Source organism: Homo sapiens, chromosome 17 (assembly GCF_000001405.40).
Source record: "Homo sapiens chromosome 17, GRCh38.p14 Primary Assembly".
Classification (NCBI taxonomy): Eukaryota; Metazoa; Chordata; class Mammalia; order Primates; family Hominidae; genus Homo; species Homo sapiens.
In genome coordinates, this window is record NC_000017.11 from 27,779,332 (window position 1) to 27,799,211 (window position 19,880).

The window sequence follows — 19,880 nt, forward strand, 5'->3', positions numbered from 1 at the left end:
ATAGAGTCTCACTATGTTGCCCAGGCTGGTCTCGAACTACTGGCCTCAAGTAATCCTCCTGCCTCAGCCTCCCAAAGTGCTGGAATTACAGGTGTGAACTACCTTGTCTGGCGCTGGGGGCTTCACTTTTGCACCTTTGGCCTCCCACTGACCCCCCACCTGCCCACCAAGAAAAAAGCTTCAGAAAGAGTCAAACAAGAAAACTCCTTTCCAAGAGTTGATTCTGAGTTAATCCCAGCCAGAGAGACGTATTGGACACATAGGATGCCATTTATTAAATTATGCATTCATGCACTCATTCATTCATGCAAACCTATATTAAGCTTCAAGTATGTGCCAGGCTCTGTGCTAAATGCTGAGAATGCAACACAACAGAGCAATTAAGGACTCCAGTGTCAGAAGCTGGGGTTCAAGTTCTGCCTCTGACTAGCAGTGTGAACTTGGGATGTTTTTTAGCCTCTCTGAGCCTCAACATCCCCATTATCAGAATAGAAACATAGCATCAAATTCATGGAATTATTATAAAGCTAGTAATATCATTCACTTGTATATTCAGTTATTCCACAAATATTTATAACTGAGCACCTACTATGTGCCAGGCACTCTGCTAGCTGTTGGGTATACATTGTGAACAGAAAAGAAAAGATCTCCACCCTCAAGGAACTTGTAGTCTAATGTCTAGACTCTAGATTATAAATGGGTAAACAAATATATAAGAAATAAAAACAAGATGATGTGTTAGACTGAGGGTAAGGGGGCCTCCTCTAGCTTGAGTGGTCAGAGAGCCTTCTCAGAGGAGGTGACATTATAGGAAATACCTTTTGACAAGAAGAAATGAGCCTAGAAAAATTCTGAGGAAAAGGCATGTCATGCAAAGGGAACAGGGAGTACAAAGGCTGTGAGTCAGGACTGAATTTGGTTCATTCAACGGCCAGGAAGAAGAGCCCAGCCCAATGTCTGCTACAGAGTAAATCTCAATACGCAGAGGTATTTTTGCAATTATGAGAACTGCCTAGAGCAGGGGCTGGGCCAGTAGGACTCTTGAAGTCACTGCAGCCCTATATGATCCCGACAGGAGAGGGACAGCTAAGAGCATTGGCAGGAGGGCAGAAGAGGCCTGGGCTGCTCCTTTCTAGAATCTCAATGCATTCCTCTCCTGCAGTCACTGCTTCTCAAGCTCCTGGGGCCCCATCCGCCTAAGCCTCTGCTTCCCCTCAGCATCAACACATCCACCTGTCTGAGGCCCGAGGTGCCAGTGCAGAATGGCTGCAGAATGCAACAGTGACAAAAGAGTCCTTGAAGGCCAGCCCCCTGAGTGTCACCTGCTGCTGGCTGGGCTTTAGGGAAGGTATGGGGAAGGCTGGAGCCGCACTTAGGAAAGGAGAAGGGCTGTGTGTTGACTCGCCCTTGCCCCCAGCACCCTCAGCCTACTTACTTGGGATGTTCCATGGCCACCTCAAGCACAAGGTCAGGTGGGATTTCGAAGAGCTCAGGGTCACGGCCATTGGCCTGCAGGACCAGGGGGACCACATCGAAGCGGCCGTACTTGGGCTTCCAGCCCAGGTCGATGCACAGCTGGGGAACAAGACGGGCCCTGTGAGTCTGTAAGCCCGGGCTGCGTGTCTCCTCTGGGCTCCACTCTGTCACTCGCTCACCACGGGGCTCCCCGCCCCAATGGCCGGTGGCTGAGGCTGGGCCGGGTACCTGAGTGAATTCCACGTTGGCAGGGTCCCCTCTGATGCTGCCATCTGGCATCTGGTAGCCAGCATAGCGGATGAGCTGAGCATTCCACACCCGGAAGTCGTGCTTGCCATCACTCCGCTGGGGGAACACGGTGATGGCCGACCTTCCCAGGACAGGAACAGTACTGTTTACCACCTAGCCCTGGTGGGGGCCCAGCCATCCTGCACTGGCCCTACCTCCCTCTCCACCCTACCTGCTCTGCAGCCCCTGATCCCAAGCTGACTGAGCCAGCCTCCTGACATGCCTTCTCCTGCTGCCCTCCCTCAAGACCCAGGGTCCACCCCCTCAAGGGGGCCTTCCCATCCATCAGGCAGGGTTAGCTGATCTGCCAGTCTTTCCCTCACTGCCTATGTCTCCGTCCTTGCAGTTGAGTTAGCTGGTTGCCTGTCTAGTGCAGGTCATAGGCTCACACCAGCTGGAGCAGCATCTTAGGGTCCTAGTCACTCTTCCTCCTACCCCCCCATACCCCATCTTCCCCCTGCTCTCCCAGCCTTGTCCTGTGTTGAGTTGCATTAGGTAGGCACTGAGTGTTTGCTGAACAAAAAGATGAATGAATGACCAAATGAGCTGTTCAGTCCTATTAGCTTTGACCTCGTTGGTTGGGAGAGGAAGGTAACCTCTTAATGTCCCATGCCTTCTAAAAAATGGGAGCCCCAACCCTGAATAGTGAAGCAGTTACTTCTTAAAGATCCTCCATCCCCTCCAAGTGGCTCCACATCAGAAGGAAACCAAGGGCATGGGTTGCCGATGGGAGCTGAGCTCACAGGGGCTGGGCTCACTACTGGAAGTCCCCGAAGAAGCCTGAGTCTTTCTCTTTTTTCTTTCTCCCTGGTTTCTCCTGGAGCTGGAGATGCCTCCCCTAGACCCAAGTGCTGCATCTTTTGGCTAAGATTCTCAGGCAAGGCAAGCCCCTCTGCAGCCCTGGGAAATGTGCACCGACCTGATGTTGCCATTGTTGGTGGAGTAACGCACGTGTCTGCAGATGTGTTCAAACATTTCCCGGGCAGTGGAACAGCTGCGGGCATCGAAGACCTGCAACAGCCCATCCAGACCATGCCCATCAAAGACTGGGTAGACAGAGGCTTTGAGGCTGATCAGAAGTCACTGGGAATCAATAGTGCAGCCGAAACACTCAACACACAAACACTCAACACCATGCCGAAGAGTGCAGCCTCCAATCTGCACCTGCCACTCAACACCATGCAGAAGAATTCAGCCTCCCATCTGCACCACCGCTCCCATTTCATGGCTGCCCTCTAGGGGAGCACAGGCAACCCCACTCAGAAGACCCCAGCAAACCCAGAATTCCAAGAAAACCTGACTTGAAAGCACCATGAATCGGGATTGCCACAGCCCCAGGCTAGGTCCTTTCCCACACCAGCACATACTACACAGCCAGAGTTGGTTTCACTGGCAGTTCTAATCGATTTCTCTGTCCAAGTGCTTTTGATATTATCCTGCAACAAATGACTCCCCAACAAAAAGATGGCCTAGGAGGCTAGGCTAAATAAAATGTTCTCTTGGAGCCAAGAATTCAAGCATTGGAGGAAAACAACACATCTTGCAGCACCACGGCCTCAAGTGTAATAAAAACAAGGTCGTGGTTTACTCTAATGATGGCATTTAGTCTCCTGAATTTAACACAATAGAGAATGGGCAGCTAGAAACCCTGGTGCTGAAACAGGATTCAAGGCTTCTAGAGAGGGACCCTAGGTGCCCCATCTCAACATTTGGGAATGTAAGAGAGGATCCAGGGCCATGGCTTCAGTCCCAGGAGGCCTGGGCACAGCTCTGTGTGGCTGTTCCAAGCCATCTGCTCAGGGCCTGGCCGCCTCCAGCTCTCTCCCGCTCAAGTCTAAGGAAGTTCACCTGCAGGTTGGACCACTGGATCCTCCCAATGCAGCGTGGGGCATTGCGCCAGGCCTGCTTGGTGGCGAAGATGAGCTCATCTCCCGTCAGTTGGTAGGTTCCTGTTGTTTCTATCTCCTTTGTTACCGCTTCCACCCTGGCCAGATGTTCCTCTATTTTTGCCCTGGGGGACAGGAAGACAGCAGGAAGATCAACAATGAGATGGCCTTACATGGGGATTAATTCAATCCACAGAAGCAGGAACTGAAATAGGACATCAGAAGGGCAAGATGCCTCTCACCAGAGACAGCTCCCTCCAGGGCTGGCTTTGGGGACCTCACACTTAGCCTAGAAGCACCCCACGCTCAATGCTCTGCTGTCCCCATCTTGAAATTCTTAATCATTTTAAAATAAAGAGCCCACATTTTCATTTTTACATTGAGTCCTATAAATACTACCTAGCCAGTCCTGAGCCCATGGGAACACTGCTTATTTTCAGGTGCTTTTTCTTTAATCATATTCATCTCAGTAAGGGGTGCAATCCTTCTCAGACACTTGCAAGCCTGGGAGGAGTGTCCCATCCAGCCATAGCAATGTCCTGCCTCTCCATTAGTTAGTAGAGTGCCCTCCTTCCTTGCCATGACTGAGAGATGAGCCAGTCCCTCCGTGGCAGCTCCGGTGTACTGGGTACCCACATGAGCCAGGCACTGGGTGAAGCAACCCACAGGCAGGGTCTCACTGAGTCTGGGAGGGAGGTATTTTTGCATCTATTTTATAGCCAAGGATCTCAAGGCTCTAGGAGGTTAAGCACCAGGCCCAGGAACATAAGTACAGGAAAGAGCAAAGTCAGGACTCAGACCCAGGTCGCCCTGATGCCAAGCCCAGGTTCTTAACTGTCAGCAACGTGACCTTCCATCTTCCACCCTACGGGGACAGTAAGCCCAAAGATGTTGAGGGCCTGCCCACCCTTCTCAGGAGCCTGGTCAAGCCAGGACTGGGACCTGGCTATCGGAGCTCAGTCTGCAGGGTCCCAGGGCCTGGCCAGAAAAGAGCTGCCCACGTCATAGTCTCTCTAAACCGTGCTGTTCCTCAGCCTCAGAATTGCTCATTCAGTCACTCCATATGCAATTCTAAACTTGCTTCTCTCCTCCCCTCCCAGACTTCAAAAATATCCCAAAGGGAGGGAGGGACTCAGTCAGAAAGGCTTTGAAACACACACACACACACACACACACACACTACCACCACCACCAACAACAACAACCTTGAGATTTCCAGTCAGCACCAAAGCCTTTTGAAACAGCATCAAAACTATTTAAAGAATGAACTCCTGATTAAGGAGAGTGGGTAACTCTGAACAAAATGGCCTTTCTGTGGATGAAGAGTGTCTCGACAACTTTTCCTTGATTAGAGAAAAAAAGCACAAAGACAAAACACTGATGATATTTATCCCCAAGGACACCCCTGCCATAAGGAGCTGCTGGGTGAGGTGGGAACCACCCCACTGCTGGGAGACCTCCCTCCCCAAACAAAGCTTCCAGCAATATTCCCCCCTCTGCACCTGAGCATGACAACAGTAATGATCACCATAACACCCACACCACCAACACACATGGTGGTCAGCACGTGCATATGCAAGAAAGGATTATTTTTTACATTCACATCCAATTCCTTCAGAGTTTTAGATGTGATAGCCATTTTCATATAGTCATTTTCTAAGGCATTAGAAATGCTATGATGTCTATGAGCTCTGAAAAAAAGGAGTGGCTTTCATCATCAGTGAACAGATTTAAATGTAACATGCAGCAAGTCACAATCTCTAAATATGCTATGATTCTTCAGATACAAAAGGCCACTGAACCTGCTCAGCTGGTCATGTCTTAGATTGCCAGGGTCCCTGTGAGGAGAGGCTGCCATTCCCCGTTCACACCCCCAGGTTCTCTTGCTCAGGGAAGCAGGGGTTCAAGGTATGTACTTGTGACTTGGAAAAATACAATTTTCCTCTGGGAGAAGCAAATGGGTTCCAACACCACCAAGCATGGCCCTGTAGCCCTGCTGGGCTTCTGAACACCCGCCCAATTGCCTTCCACACAACAGCAAGGCCTCCCACGTCCAGAATAGAGTTGGGAACCTGCAAGGCCACACAGCTAGGTACTAGAGCATTGATGGGAAAAGCAAGGGCTCAGGCACCAGCTGCCTAGGTTCGAATCCCCACTCTGGGGCTTCGAAGGGTGTGACTTTGAGCAAGGTACATCTCTTCTGTGGATTTCAGTTGCCTTGTCTGTAAGATGAGGATAACAATAATACCAATCTCATAGTGTCATGGTGCACACGTGCTTTATGCTAAATAAATAAATAAATAACATAAGTACTGTGGCCCAATGAAACCCATCCAGGAAAATCCCTGGACCCCGAAAGGCTCATTAATTAACAACCGAGCTGAAAGGCCAAGGATCTTGTGAAGTTTGCAGTCAGGAAGCAGGCAGCCCCTAACAGGCTGCTCAATCCAGGCTGTGCATTAGAATCACCTGGGGAGCTTTTGAAGCACACACATGTCTGCCTCATCCCCATCTCCCCAGATTCTGCTGCCCTTGGCTCAAGGGACCCTGCCATCAGAATTTTGCAGGCTTTCCAGGTAAGTCTACTGTGCAGCCAGGGTTGAGGACCACCGACCCTGGAAGATGAGGGCCTCTTCTGAAGACTCACGGTCCCTCCCAGCTCAGACATTCTAGGGTTGTAGAAAACTGGAGGTGGGCCAGGTGCAGCGGCACACACCTGTAATCCCAGCACTTTGGGAGGCCAAGGCAGGAGGATCGCTTGAGCTCAGGAGTTCAAGACCAGCCTGGGCAACATAGTGAGACCCTGTCTCTACTAAAAATTTAAAAAATTAGCTAAGCATAGTGGTGCACACCTGTGGTCCCAGCTCCTCAGGAAGCTGTGGTGGGAGGATTACTTGATCCAGGAGATCGAGGCTGCAGTGAGCAGAGATTGTGCCACTGCACTCCAGCCTGGGAGACAGAGCAAGACCGAGTCTCAAAAAAAAAAAAAAAAAAAAAAAAAAGACAAAGAAAAGTGGAGGTGGTACCACCAGAAGCCACTCTTTCCGCCAGGGAGTCCCAGGTACATGTCTGTGGCTCACTTTGTGTGGTGCAGTGCTGTGTGAGGCTCTCCCCTAATAGCAACACTCCCCTTCCAGCCTAGAAAACAATCCATTTCTGGGCCGGGCTCGGTGGCTCACGCCTGTAATCCCAGCACTTTGGGAGGCTGAGGTGGGTGGATCACAAGGTCAGGGGATTGAGATCAGCCTGGCCAACATGATGAAACCCCATCTCAACTAAAAATAAAAAAAAAAAATTAGCCAGGTGTAGTGGCACACACCTATAGTCCCAGCTACTCAGGAGGCCGAGGCAGGAGAATCGCTTAAACCCGGGAGGCAGAGGTTGAAGTGAGCCAAGATCGTGCCACTGCACTCCAGCCTGGGCAACAAGAGCAAAACTCCATCTCAAAAAACAAAAATAAAAACAAACAAACAAACAAAAAGAAAACAATCCATTTCTTTCAGACATTCTTTCTTACAATCTCTTCATGCATTTTTGTTTTAAAAGTTTTAAAGGGGCCTAAATTACATAGCCACATATTTTATTTGGACAACGCAGTGTTCTAAAAACATGAAAATGGCTAATACTTATGTCGTGCTTACTGTGGCCCAGGCATTGTTCCTAGCTCTATATTCTTTAACTCCTTTCATCTTTATAAACTCCCGCCAACTACCCTCCTCCTGCAAGGTGGGTACTATTATTATCACCATTTTCGGTAAGAAAATCAAGGCATAGAGAGACAAAGTAACTTGCCCAGGGTTACTCAGCTCGTAAGGGGCACAGCTAGGATTTGAACCTGGGAAGGCCACAATGCTATACAACCTCTCTTTGGATGATTAAAATTGTATACGTTGGCAATAAAATTGGCAAATGACAATTAAAAATCTTTGTATTCCAGTGTCTGACACAAGGCTGAGGCATACTCAGTGCCTGATGTGTGTCTGTCAACCAAATGACCAATTGGCCATAGAAATGAAGGATGTCTAGCATGGTCCTCAGGGAAGCCTCACTGGGTAGAAAAAAGAAGAGAACTCCAGAAATGTAGAACCCCACCAGGGTCAGGGCAAAGAGCAATGGCCTGCCCTCTCCTAGTCAGGTGGCCTGGCTTCTAGCTGGAATGAGGTGACTTCAGGTATGTCACCAGCTTCCATGTTCACACCTGTAGGAGTAGGGGCCTGACTAGGTGGTCTCAGAGATCCTTTCTGTCTCAAACATTTCATAATTAAAGGGTCCATATTAATTCACAATCAAGGTCTCTGGATGCCAGGACACTGTTCTGAACTTACTGAATCCTCACAAAAATCTCATGAGCCACCTTCTGTTATTATCCCCATTTTATATTAGGTTGGTGCAAAAGTAGTTGCAGTTTTTGCCATTAATATGATGAGGACGTTCAGACACAATGCGGGAGCCAGGGTTCGAATTCAGTCACTTTTAACTGGTATTGCTATGTACAACGTTATCCCACAATTATGAGAACCTGCTCCAGGGTCTTCTCCCCTAGAAAACCGTGATTTTCGCTCTGCAAAATCATAGTGATTTAACACCACAAATCTGGAAAGAAAAGGGATCTAGCTAGGATCAGAGGGTGATGGGTAGAGACAGGAGAGCAGGAGGAAGGGCAGGAGGCAGCGACCCTGCAGGAGGCAAGCCTTACTCTTTGAAGGAGCCGTAATATTGGTTGACAAATTCGATAGCTTGAGGTAGAAGCTCATCTGGAGGGGTAGGCTTGTCCCTGGGTCCTCTGGTCAAACTTTTGGGAGTCATAATGGACCCCAGGCAAGATTTGGACCTGCAAGTTAAAATCTGGAAAGAGAGAGGCAGGTGGTGAGGGTGGGCCATTCGGCCTCTTGCCACCCTCCTCTGGGGCCAGCTCTCCTGGCCACCTGGCTCCTCTCTGGCTGCTCCGGCTCCCTGCACCTCTTCTCCACCCCTGTGGCACCTCCTCCTTGGGGTCCACCTGGCTTTCTCCCACCTAGATCTCCTCTCTTCCACTGGCTGAACCCCAGTGGGTGTGAGTCAGGTTTTTCTCCCTACTCCGGACTCAGTCTCTGGCCCTGCTCCCCAGCCAGCTCCAGATCCAGAGCAAAGTCAATCCAATATGGCTCCTATGGGAACATGATATTGGTATTTGGCCAAAACAAACTGAAATGAGACATAGGAAGGCACACGCGTGCACACACACACACACACACACACACACGAATGAAGTACACCCGAATGTTAACTGTGGTGGTTTGGGGGCATGTGGGAAATAATTTTGCTTTCATGGTCCTGAAATTGTCCATTCTTTCCCACTTTACAACCATAGAATGTATCCTGAAGTTAGAATTAAAAACTTACATGACAGAAAGAAGCCTGAAAAGACATTTAGTCCAACCACTCACAGGATACTTGAACCCCTCTGCAATCTATCAAATTGCATTTAAATCCTTCCAGTGACAGGGAGCTCACTACCTCCTGATGTAATACAGTCCAGCTCTGAGCAGTTCTGTTAGAAAATTCTCCCTGACATTATCCTGAAATCCGGCTAAGAAAGATATGAATTTGTTTCTGCAATCATTTATTTGACCTTCTGGATTATCCATTATTTACTGGGGTGGTTAACAGGGAGTTGGCATCATTTACTTCCTACTGTAATCTGTGAGGAATGTCTCTGTTCCTAGACCCCTTTGCCCAAGCAGATGATTGTTTGGTTTGCCCAGGGGGACACCTGTTTGATCCACAAAGCCCTGGCAGCTTCACCAGCTTGGGACAAAGGTGGTTCTCCCTGAAGCCCCAGACTTACCCCTTTGGCCTTATGGTGAAGTGTGTCTTGGAAAGTCATCCCGCTGCCCCAGTTTTTGATCCTCACATGCCGTGGGGAGGACAATGGGGTTGCATCCAGCTTGACCAGAGATTCTGGAGACTTCTGCAAGGGGAAAAAACAGGGTTTTCTCTCAGGTCTCTCCTAGACCCCAGGCCCTGCCTTGTCTTAGAGTGGGGAAGGATCTATGGGTGGCCACACAGGGCAGGGTGTCCCTCCACGTCCCTCCTCTGTTTCCAGCCCCCGGGCGACCTGGGCCAGTGCCTGCTAAGAGCTCCAGGTGCCTGGGCCACTGGCCAGGGTCCTCTCCTCACCCAGGGCCTTGCCAAATGCTTCCTCAGAGGAACTGCTGTAGGAGGGACTAAAGACTAAGTTGGAGGTGAGAAGGATGACTGTCAGAGCCAATACTACTGAGAACAGAAAGGCACCACTGCATTCCTTCCCTGGGAGCATGTAAGGACATATAAGCCACCCTCTCTCCCACTCCTACCCATTTCTCTGCCCACCTCTCTAGAATGGTATGGAACCCAGGAGATAGAAGCTAGCTGTCAGTGCACCTTGGGGGCCACCACTCCCGACCACTGGGGGTTGTCTCACTCTCCCAAAGCCCTTCCTCATTCCCACCTGTTCCCCCCAACACCCCGGGTCTGGGACTCTCCACTCTCCATCCAAACCCTGGCTTCCTGCCCTCTCCAGCCCAGCTCTAACAGGCTGCTATGTCTGCATCTGCCTGGACCAGGGAGGAAGGGGCTTCCCACACCCATGTGACTCACTGACCTTTCCCGTCTCCACGAGGGGCTGCGGGGACTCATTCTGCTGCTTGCTGAGGTTGTGATACTGAAGGTCATCCTGTGTCACTGGACTGTGAAAGGAAACAGCTAGCATGAGATGCGGTATCCAAGGGTGGAGGGGCATCTTGGAGTTCCCTCTGCCAGTAACCTCATTTGACAAATAGGGAAACTGAGTCCAGAGGGTGGGAGTGAATTGTTCATGGTCGGTCTGACCAACTGCCTCCCCATCCCCATCTTCCCTCTTCCTCTTATCTTCTTCCTCCCGCAGAGCCAAAAGGGCATGAGCAGAGCTGAGCCAAAGCTACTGGCCCAAACAGCAGCCCATAGAGGATCTGGAAAATGCTCCTTCACCCTCTGGAAAAGCCAAGTACAAACGTGGCACAGGGGCTGGGTGGGCAGAGAATGGCTCCAACAACTCTGCCTCCCAGACTAGCAGCACTGCCCAGCAGCCACTTGGATTGGTTGACTGATTGACTGATTGATTTATATTTTTTGAAACAGAGCCTTGCACTGTCATCCAGGCTGGAGTGCAGTGGCATGATCTCAGCTCTCTGCAACCTCCACTTCTCAGGTTCAAGTGAACCTCCCACCTCAGCCTCTTGGGTAGCTGGGACTACAGGCGCACACCACCACACCTGGCTAATTTCTGTATTTTTGGTAGAGATGGGGTTTCACCATGTTGCCCAGGCTGGCCTCAAACTCCTGGCCTCAAGTGATCCTCCCACCTTAGCCTCCCAAAGTGCTGGGATTACAGGCAGGAGCCACCGCGCCCAGCCCCAGCCACTTGTTTTTCATGACTTAAGCTTTATTTAAAACACGTGATTTATCTTGGTTTATTTACTTATTCTACATTTCTATTACAGAAAATGTTAAGTGTACAAAAGTAGAGAGAATAGTCTAATAACCTTCCATGGGCCCTTCACCCAGATTCAACCCAATTCAACAGTGATCAATCCACGGCCGATCTTGTTTCACCTATACCTTCCCTGCCCCCATCATTATTTTAAAACAAATCTAAGATGTCAACTTACCTTCACCAAGGTAAAAACAAGTATTGTAAAAATTAGCATTAAATTACAGATTACTTACAAATTAAATTAAACATTACTTAAAGTAATTTTTTAAATTAAAGATTACTTAAAAATTCAGTATTCTGAAACCGGTCAGAAACCGTTTGTCCTGGTTTGGGATTTCAGGTTCATTCCGGCGAACTGAATAGTCACCACTCACACATGCCTCCCCTAGGAAGAATCATCCCACCAGGGCACCTTGGTTTGAAAGCATATTGTGTTCCATGTTCTTGGCAGTATTTTCCAGGGTATGCATGCTTGTGCATCTGAGGGAGAGGTGGTTAGAGACTATTATGAGGGTCTCACATTTTCTACTTGATATGTATCTATGATGTTGAAATGCGATAAATGACCATGTATTGCTTTTATTATAGAAAAAAATGACTATATGTTACCATTATATCATTAATTATATACATTACATAGTAGCAGTAAGTGATTTTTTACTATAAAGAGATACTGTCTTAAAAGAGGATGTAAGTATGTATCAGAAAGCAACTTATATCTGAATCAAGGGATTCCACAACCCTGTAAAGGGCCTTCCATGTGACCAACCATTGCCAACTGGCAAAGATGCTTTGCTTAGCCAAACTTTACTCAGACTTCTGAATCTTCTGCGGGGCCCATCCAAGCATTTCCTTGTAAAAATGCAGTTTTAGCAAAAGAATCCCTACTTAGTCAGTTTAACAAGAACCCTCCATCCTTGATAGCTTGTCGTCCTCCCCATCTGATCAGGGTCCTCATCCTCCATCCTCCCCCAGGCGATGTCTGATCACCTTAGCCTGTCCTAAGCAAGAATCCTGTTAGGTTGGGTGAGGCAGAATTCCCCCTATGCCTGAAGTTTTTCTTGGTAATTTTCCATCCACAGACCCCACCCTGATCCTTGGCTATAAATTCCCACTTGCTCCTGCTGTATTTGGATTTGGGCCCAATCTCTCTCCTCCACTGCCAGACCCCACTGCAGTAGGTCCCTGTACCTATTGAGATGGTCCTAAATAAAGACTTCCATACTGTTCTTTAACAAGTATCATTGAATACTTTTTTCTTTAACACACCTGGTCTAGACTGGTGTGGCCTGCCAGAAAAAAACAAAACAAAACAAAACAAAACAAAACAAAAATATATATATATATGGCAATCTGGATATTCAGAACAGATAAGCCATGGCTGAGCAGTCACCATGGGGCTGCTTCAATAGGAAGATGTATGGGGGATGGGGTCCCCAGGGGACAACTGCCCCTCTTGCTCTTTTGCCATTCCCCCTCACCCCAGCACCCACCCTGCACCCATTCTTGCTTCCTCTCACTTACTTCTGGAAGTAGAGTTGGACAATTTCAGAAGCTTCAGACCAGAAACATCTACAGTACTGTTTAGATTGAGAAGCAATGTCTTTGTACATTTAACATAATCATTTTACCCCATATATTAAAAAGTATCACTTTTAAAAGTTGGCTAAAAATCCACTCTACAGATGGGCCACGATTAGCCTGGTCCCATTGTCCATGGCTGGATGTTAGACTGTGTCTAGTTTTGCCCTCATATAAATAATGCCTTAAACTGTATACACAGTCTGATGCTGGCTGTGTGTGTGTGTGTGCGTACAAGCACAGAAAAACACCTCGAGGGAATGTTAGTAAATGTTAACAGTGACTAGCATTAAGTGATAAGATCATAGGCAATTTAACTTTTCTTATACTTTTCCACATCTTCCAACTTTTTACAGTGACAATGAATTCCTTTCATAATTGGACAATTCTTTAAATTTGAAAAATGAATAAACAAAGTTTTGCCCAAGTCCCCTCCCACACCATTTCTTCTGGCTGGCTGCTGGGAGACAGGGTGACAGGGTGACCAGACTCCAGGTGAGCACCTTCAGAATCTGGACACTTCTTTCCAAATTATCACATTGTTGATTCTGACCCCGCAGACGCTCGTGCAATTTGACTAAACCCACAGCTGTGCGGGGTCCTGAGGACCCTCAAGGACCTGCATTCAAAGAGAGTGCTGGCAGCTGGGCGCGGTGGCTGACACCTGTCATCTCAGCACTTTGGAAGGCCGAGGTGGGCGGATCACTCGAGCCCAGGAGTTCAAGACCAGCCTGGGCAACATGGTGAAACCCTATCTCTACAAAAAAAAAAAAAAAAAAAAAAAGGTGCCAAGTGTGTGGTGATGCGCGCCTGTAGTCCCAGCTACTCAGGAGGCTAAGGTGGGAGGATCACCTGAGCCCTGGAGGTGGAGGCTACGGTGAACCGAGACGGCGCCACTGTCGCCTGGGTGACAGAGTGAGACCCTATCAAAAAAAGGGGTCGGGGGCGTGGGGAGTGCTGTGAGTGTGGTGGCTTGCTTAGACCCAGAACTTTCTACAAGCCCTTGACCAGCCGAGCCGGTCACAGCTGCAGACTGTGGCTTGCCTGGGCTGACCTGGGGGCCAGATTCCCCTGCGGTTCCGACGCCTCCCTGCCTGTTTACCTCGCCTTACACCAAGAGTGGTGGTGGGGACAGATGGGGAGGGTGGGGGGGATGGCGCCCTGGGAAATGGATCTCATTTGTGAAACAAGAACCTCCTTGCTCTCTTAACCATATTTGATCCAAAGAGTGTAGCAACTTTCAACCCCAGTGCTGAAAAATTTCAAAAGCTCCCAAGTGCTGAAACATTCGCAGCGCAACTGAACCCGCATAGACGCCTCTCATAGTGCATGGGGGGTTTCTCTGGGCCGCCTGGGCTCCTGAATTGCGACCTCTCAAGCGTTCTAAAAGAGGAAAACGCTTTTAGTAAACCCTCAGGAATCCCACAGAGCGCACATCCCCGCCCTCCGATTTCTCCCAGAGAGAGATGGGGCCCCGCCCGGGCTCGGAGCCCACCGCTTCCCTCCCAGGGCGGACTTCGGCCCGCGGGGTACCTGGCTCTGCGCGGGCAGCAGTCAGGCTTCGGCCGGAGGATCCTGCAGAGCAGCCTGCACAGCCGGGGCCCGGCGGCCTCGCACGCCGCGCCCAGCCCCTCGCGCATGGCCCGGCTCCTTAGGCGCAGCTCCGCTGGCTCCACGCGCCTCCCAGCGCCCGCGCTTTATCGCTCGGAGCCTGCAGCCCCCGCCCCGGGGGCGGGGCGAGCCGAGCAGCGGCGGGGGCTCTTCACCCACGCGATGTCCCGGGCCGAGCTGCCCCTCCTTCCCTGCCTTCCCCGGCGATCCCGGGACCCAAGCACCCAGGGGCCCGCAGCCGGCGTCTGCCGCGGAGTTTGGATGGCACTGGACTGTGTCTGGGCTAAGATGCCCGGGTCGTGTTGGGCCTCGTGTTTGTTTATTCCCCATAAAATCGCAATAAAGCTTATGATAATTACCACCATTGCGCGGTGCTTTCTAGTTTACAGAGCAAATTTCCTTTCTGTCATTTCGTCCAGTCTCGTTAAGCAGACAGCTCTACGTTGTCATCTCCACTTTATTGAGGCATTAGCTGGGGCCAGAGAGATTAAGGATCTTGTCCAGGGCCACACAGCAGCCCCAGGACCACAGCCCAGCCTAAGCTCACACCACCTCACAAGGCTGTCCCGGGAAGTGTTATATTACTTGTTACATACAGCATGTTCTGTGCGATTCCAGAAAAGAAACCAAAGAAAGCACTGGGTTAGGGGTGACTTCTAGTAGGAATATTGCAGGAGGGATCGTAAGCCCCTTCCGGTGCCTTGCAGGCCCCTTGTCCTTGCTACCTGGACTGCGCAGAGCCTCCTGACTTTGCTCCGCCTGTAAGGTGCTCCTTATCTCAAGCAAGATAACAGGTAGGGTCCAGACCCAGATGGGGCAGCAGCCCTGGACCTCAACATGCAGGGGGCCCTTCTGGCAGTATGCAAGCACATTAAATCCCGAACCCCAGTTAAAGCAGAATGAAAGAGGGCACATATTTATTTCTAGCCAACTGCAGCCCAGCAAGCAACACATAGCTCGACTTGGTTCTGAATTCCATGTGTCTTCACCTAGATGCTCCCACATTTGCCTTTGTCCCTAAAATACACACATGCGTACACACACACGCGCACACACACACACACACACACACACACACACACCATGCTCATTTCCTAATTGTTTACGAAGGTATAGAATCACCAGTCACTTAGAATAGGCTCTTGGTTTCATGACACCTGAACAGATTAGAAAATTACTTTTTAAAATCAAAATATATTCATTGGCTCTCATTGCTTTCAGGATGAAATCCCCTTTGCACGGCTGCTTCCTCTTCCAGTAACATCACCCCTCCCTCACCTGAGTGGATGTTGCACTCTGGGTGGACCCACCTCCTCCCCCCAACTCCTCCCCACACTACAGCCTGCCCAGGCACCTCTGCAGTCTCCCCAGCAGAGGCCTCTAGCACGGTCCCAGTACACCCACAACTACGACCTCCTGTCTACACTCCATCCCACCTACTCCTGACACAATTTCTCCAACTCGCATTCTTCATGTACGTCTCCCAAACCAGCGAGGAAGACATCCGTTTCCCCGTTTCCTTCCTGACAGCAGGAACTGGGTCATTTTTCTCTGTCTCTTGAACAGTGCAGCACACAGTAGGCCCTCTGGGAGAGCACAGATAGTGTAGATGTTATGAGTTTGGACTTGACTCAAACCTTAGCTCCACTATTTTCCAGGAATTGACCTCCAGTAAGTCACTCAATCTTGTAAAACAAGGATAATAGTTCCTGTCTCATTATTGACACAGTACTAAGGACCTTATAAATGTTATCTATTGTTTTTAGCAGTGGTGTATGTAAGTAATAAGTGGCTCAAACAATTCACTGATGAGCAGAAGGGTTTCATTGATATCTTAACTCCCAGCACAGAGCCAGGGGAGTGGGCATCTGCATGTACTCGTCAATGGAATGTGACATGCCCAGGACACAAAGGTGGCAGCCCCATGCAGGGGTCCCTCTGGACTGCCTGGATCTGAATCCCAGCTCTGTCATTTGCTAATTATGAGATCTTGAAAATTACTTTAACTTTCTGGGCTTCAGGGTCCTCATCTTTAAAATGGGATAACTAAAATTCCTTCCTTGTGGATCGTTGGGAGAGTTGAATGAATTGATGTGTGATATTTTTTTCTTCATCCCCTCTTCTATCTGACTGGATCCTTTCCGCCAGCCCACCCCAGCATGAAGAGGAGGGGGAAAAACATGGTCAAGTTAGCTGGTTTGTCACATGTCCACTGCAGCTCAGGGCCCTCCCTGGAGTCTGAACTCATATTTCCTGAATGGTCCAAAGACACAAGTCAGCCCCCAAAGACATAGGGATAACTGGCAATGCTATTAGAGGGTGTGGGGATGAGGGTTAAAGGCTGCAGCCAACACCGTAAGGGTTTTGGGAGATTCAGGGTGATCCGGAAAGACAGCAGATAGATCACTAGGGCCCAGAGTTCGAGGGCAGCCTGGACAACAGAGCAAGATTCTCAGCTTTAAAAGAGAGAGAGAAAGAGAGAAAAGAAAAGGAAAGAAAAAAGAAGCCTAGGTGCGGTGGCTCACACCTGTAATAGCACTTTGGGAGGCCAAGGCAGGAGAATTGCTTGAGGTCAGGGGTTCGAGACCAGCCTGGCCAATATGGTGAAACACCGTCTCTACTAAAAATACAAAAATTAACCAGGCGTGGTGGCACATGCCTGTAGTCCCAGCTACTCAGGAGGCTGAGGTGGGAGAATCGCTTGAACCTGGCAGGTGGAGGTTGCAGTGCAGTGAGCTGAAATGGAGCCACTACACTGAAGTCTGGGCAACAGAGTGAGACCCTGTCTAAAAATAATAATAATAAAAAATAAAAATAGAAAAGAAAAAAATAGGGGATGAGTTGGGTCTGGATGAGCTGAGGGAGGAATGTGCTATGCACAGGCACTGGGGAGCTGAGGAAGGCTGGGATGGGCAGGTGGGATGGGCTCTCCATTTGGGTAGGGTGCTCGCTCAGAACTCTGTGGAAGCTTTAATGTGGTGACAGGCAATGGGGAGCCACTGCAGGCTCTAGAATAGGGGCGTGACTTGCTAGAAGTCCAGTTGGCAAGAGAGAGCTCAGAGCCAGTGTGGGGAGCTGGAGTCAGGGAGGTCAGCTGGCAGCGGCTGCAATGATGAGATGAAGAGAAGGAAGGGGCGAAGCCACTGCCCCTCTACAGCCCTTAGAATCTGGACATCTAGAGGCCATCAACTCTGTGTTCTCACCTCTTGGTCTCTTAGCCACCTCAGTTGCCATAGCCCAGACTGCCTGGTTTCAAAGTCCTCTCCTCCAATTCACCTACCACACCACAGCTAGACTGTCCTGCTCAAGAACCTACAATGGCTCCCTACTGCCAGGGAGAGCGAGTCCAAATCTCCTACCCTGCATTCAAGCCCTTGTGCTCTGGCCTGGCTTTGCCTATCCCAGCCCCCAGCCCACTCCTGGCCAAGCACAGTCAGGCTCATTTCTGCCTCTGAGCCTCTGCTCACCTCTCCCCTCTTCCTGAATGTCCTTGCTACTCCTCTGCACCTGTCTACATTCTACCCATACTTCAAAGGCCACAGAGTCCACCTGACTTCTGTGAAGCCCCTAGAGGGAACTCTGTTCAATTTTGCTCCATCACCTCCTAACTGCCAACACCACCGCTAATGATAGCAATGCCAACAGTGCCATTTGCTGAGCACTTACTCCAGGCCAGGCCCTGTGCTAAGTTGCTCACATGGGAAAGCTCATTTACTCCTTCCTCCAACTCCAGGAAATCACCATTGTTACCCTCTTCTTATAGAGGAGGAAATTGAGGCTCAGAGGCTAGGGGACTTGCCAAAGGTTACAGGGCTACTGAGTGGCAAAGCCACTTGCTCATCCCCAAGCCCATCCTCTTAGCCACTGGCATTTTTTGCCGCCTCTGACAGATACACTCAGGGCCGTCATGCTGTACACATCCAGGGGGCGCCCTACCCTTTGTAGTCCATGGGAAAGGCTCCTCTGGGGCGGTGGGGTTGTGTGGCTATGTGGTGGTCTTGTGTAGATGGGGGCTTTGGTTTCAGTTGCACTATTGCGTTATTGCAGATTGCTTTGTCTTTCCACCTGAGCGAGCCTCAAGCCTGTCCCTTGACTTGTTCATTAACTGACTCATTCTCTTGGTTCTGCCCTGGGAGGAAGGATGGGCCCGGGGAGGAGGGACATGAAGAATCCAAATCTGGGCTCAAGTTCCAACTCTGTAAACTCTGTAATTACCGGTCATTCAGGCTGGGGGAAGTCATAATCCTATTAGAGCTTCTATTTCCTTATCTGTGAAATGAGTCAATCATATGAACTTCAAAGAGCCGCCACAGAGATCAGTTGAGATGCAAAGTCTGTCAAGTGGCCTGTGTAGCTCTGGCAAGGGCAGGTACTCAGTAGATGGTGATGAACCCTGATGTGGACTAAGTGTCTGTTCTGTGTGGGCACAGTGCTGAGTGCTGTAGATCTCATTTCATCCTCAGCACACTATGGTGAGGGCCCCCTTGGGTTCCTCATACCACAGGTGAGCACTAAGTTTCAGAGAGGTTAACTTACCCTGCGTCACACAGCTGGCTAGAGGCAGCACCCGGCAACTAGTGCGGCCAGCACAGGGCTTGGAACTAGTTTGTCTAACATCCTGATGCCCTTCACCAGGATGATATTCAAAGCATCTAGCAAGCGGTGAATTGGAATGGACGCAGGCCAGGATGCTGACCCTCCACCCCCACCCCTCCGCCATGGTGCCCACCACGAGGCTCTACTGCCTCCCATTCTCAGGCCAAGCTCCTTCCCATATTCTTCCCCAAAGATTCCAAGCTTCTTCAGGGCCAGCCCCGCACCATGTCCCTTCCTTCTTCACATACCGTCAGGCACAGCGAGGTGCCCAATAATCAGCGGCTGCATTGAATTCCAACAGGGACTTTCAAGAAGCAATGAGGAGATCAGACCTCAGGTGAGAGAGGAGGAGCAGAGAGAGGAATTCTGAGTCATCGGTGCCGACAGGGCATGGGTGCCCAAGGAGACAAGCAGGAGGTTCCCCCAGGGAAAACTCACCTGGAGGTGGCACAGGGGGCTTTCTCCACATTGTTGTTGATGTCTTTTTCCCCATTCATTGCATACTGGTGGAATTTGGTCTTGAACAGAAATTTCCAAGGACAGGCCATCTCTATGGCTTTACAAAGCAGGTCACTTATGTCACTTATCTGGATTTGAGCTCAGATGTTCTTCACTGTGGGGCTGAAGAAGGGAAGCAGAGGTGAGGGAAGGTTGAAGAAGAGTTTACAGAACAGGGCTTCTCAGTGGGGTTGGCTCACTGGGGAATCGATATGAACGCCAGCATGAGCCCCTTCATCAATGCTTTGCAACCTCTGTCTCTATTTCGGGGTTGGAATGGGGAGCCTTCGGACACAGACTTCAATTCTGTAAAGCCACCTAATAATCTTAAGGAAAAACAATGAACCCCCCCATCCCCATCGCCACTTAACAAGGACAAACTGTATGCACCATGAGCCTCCTTAGCGGGACCTGCTGGCCCACCAGACCCAGCCAGGCTTCATCACTGGCCA

The 19,880-nt window shown here is 49.9% G+C and overlaps 1 protein-coding gene across 1 annotated transcript in view, besides 1 other annotated feature; it reads right to left on the reverse strand.

Annotated features, from left to right (window-relative positions):
* Window positions 1-19,880, reverse strand: part of NOS2 (nitric oxide synthase 2) — a 43,764-nt gene that overhangs the window by 22,566 nt on the left and 1,318 nt on the right. Inside the window, exons 2-9 of the mRNA NM_000625.4 lie at window positions 19,369-19,551; window positions 10,273-10,357; window positions 9,478-9,600; window positions 8,347-8,495; window positions 3,613-3,775; window positions 2,684-2,775; window positions 1,705-1,846; window positions 1,436-1,575 (exon numbers count right to left, since the gene is read on the reverse strand). Coding sequence (NP_000616.3) covers window positions 1,436-1,575; window positions 1,705-1,846; window positions 2,684-2,775; window positions 3,613-3,775; window positions 8,347-8,495; window positions 9,478-9,600; window positions 10,273-10,357; window positions 19,369-19,478 — 1,004 coding nt within the window. The 5' untranslated portion in view covers window positions 19,479-19,551. The remainder of the gene's footprint in view (window positions 1-1,435; window positions 1,576-1,704; window positions 1,847-2,683; window positions 2,776-3,612; window positions 3,776-8,346; window positions 8,496-9,477; window positions 9,601-10,272; window positions 10,358-19,368; window positions 19,552-19,880) is intronic.
* Window positions 3,676-4,175: an enhancer, noted in NCBI's record as "H3K4me1 hESC enhancer chr17:26110033-26110532 (GRCh37/hg19 assembly coordinates)". NCBI's record gives its function as "activates a minimal SCP1, AML or CMV promoter by ChIP-STARR-seq in naive H9 embryonic stem cells {active_cell/tissue: H9 hESC(naive)}" and the evidence as "EXISTENCE:reporter gene assay evidence [ECO:0000049][PMID:30033119]".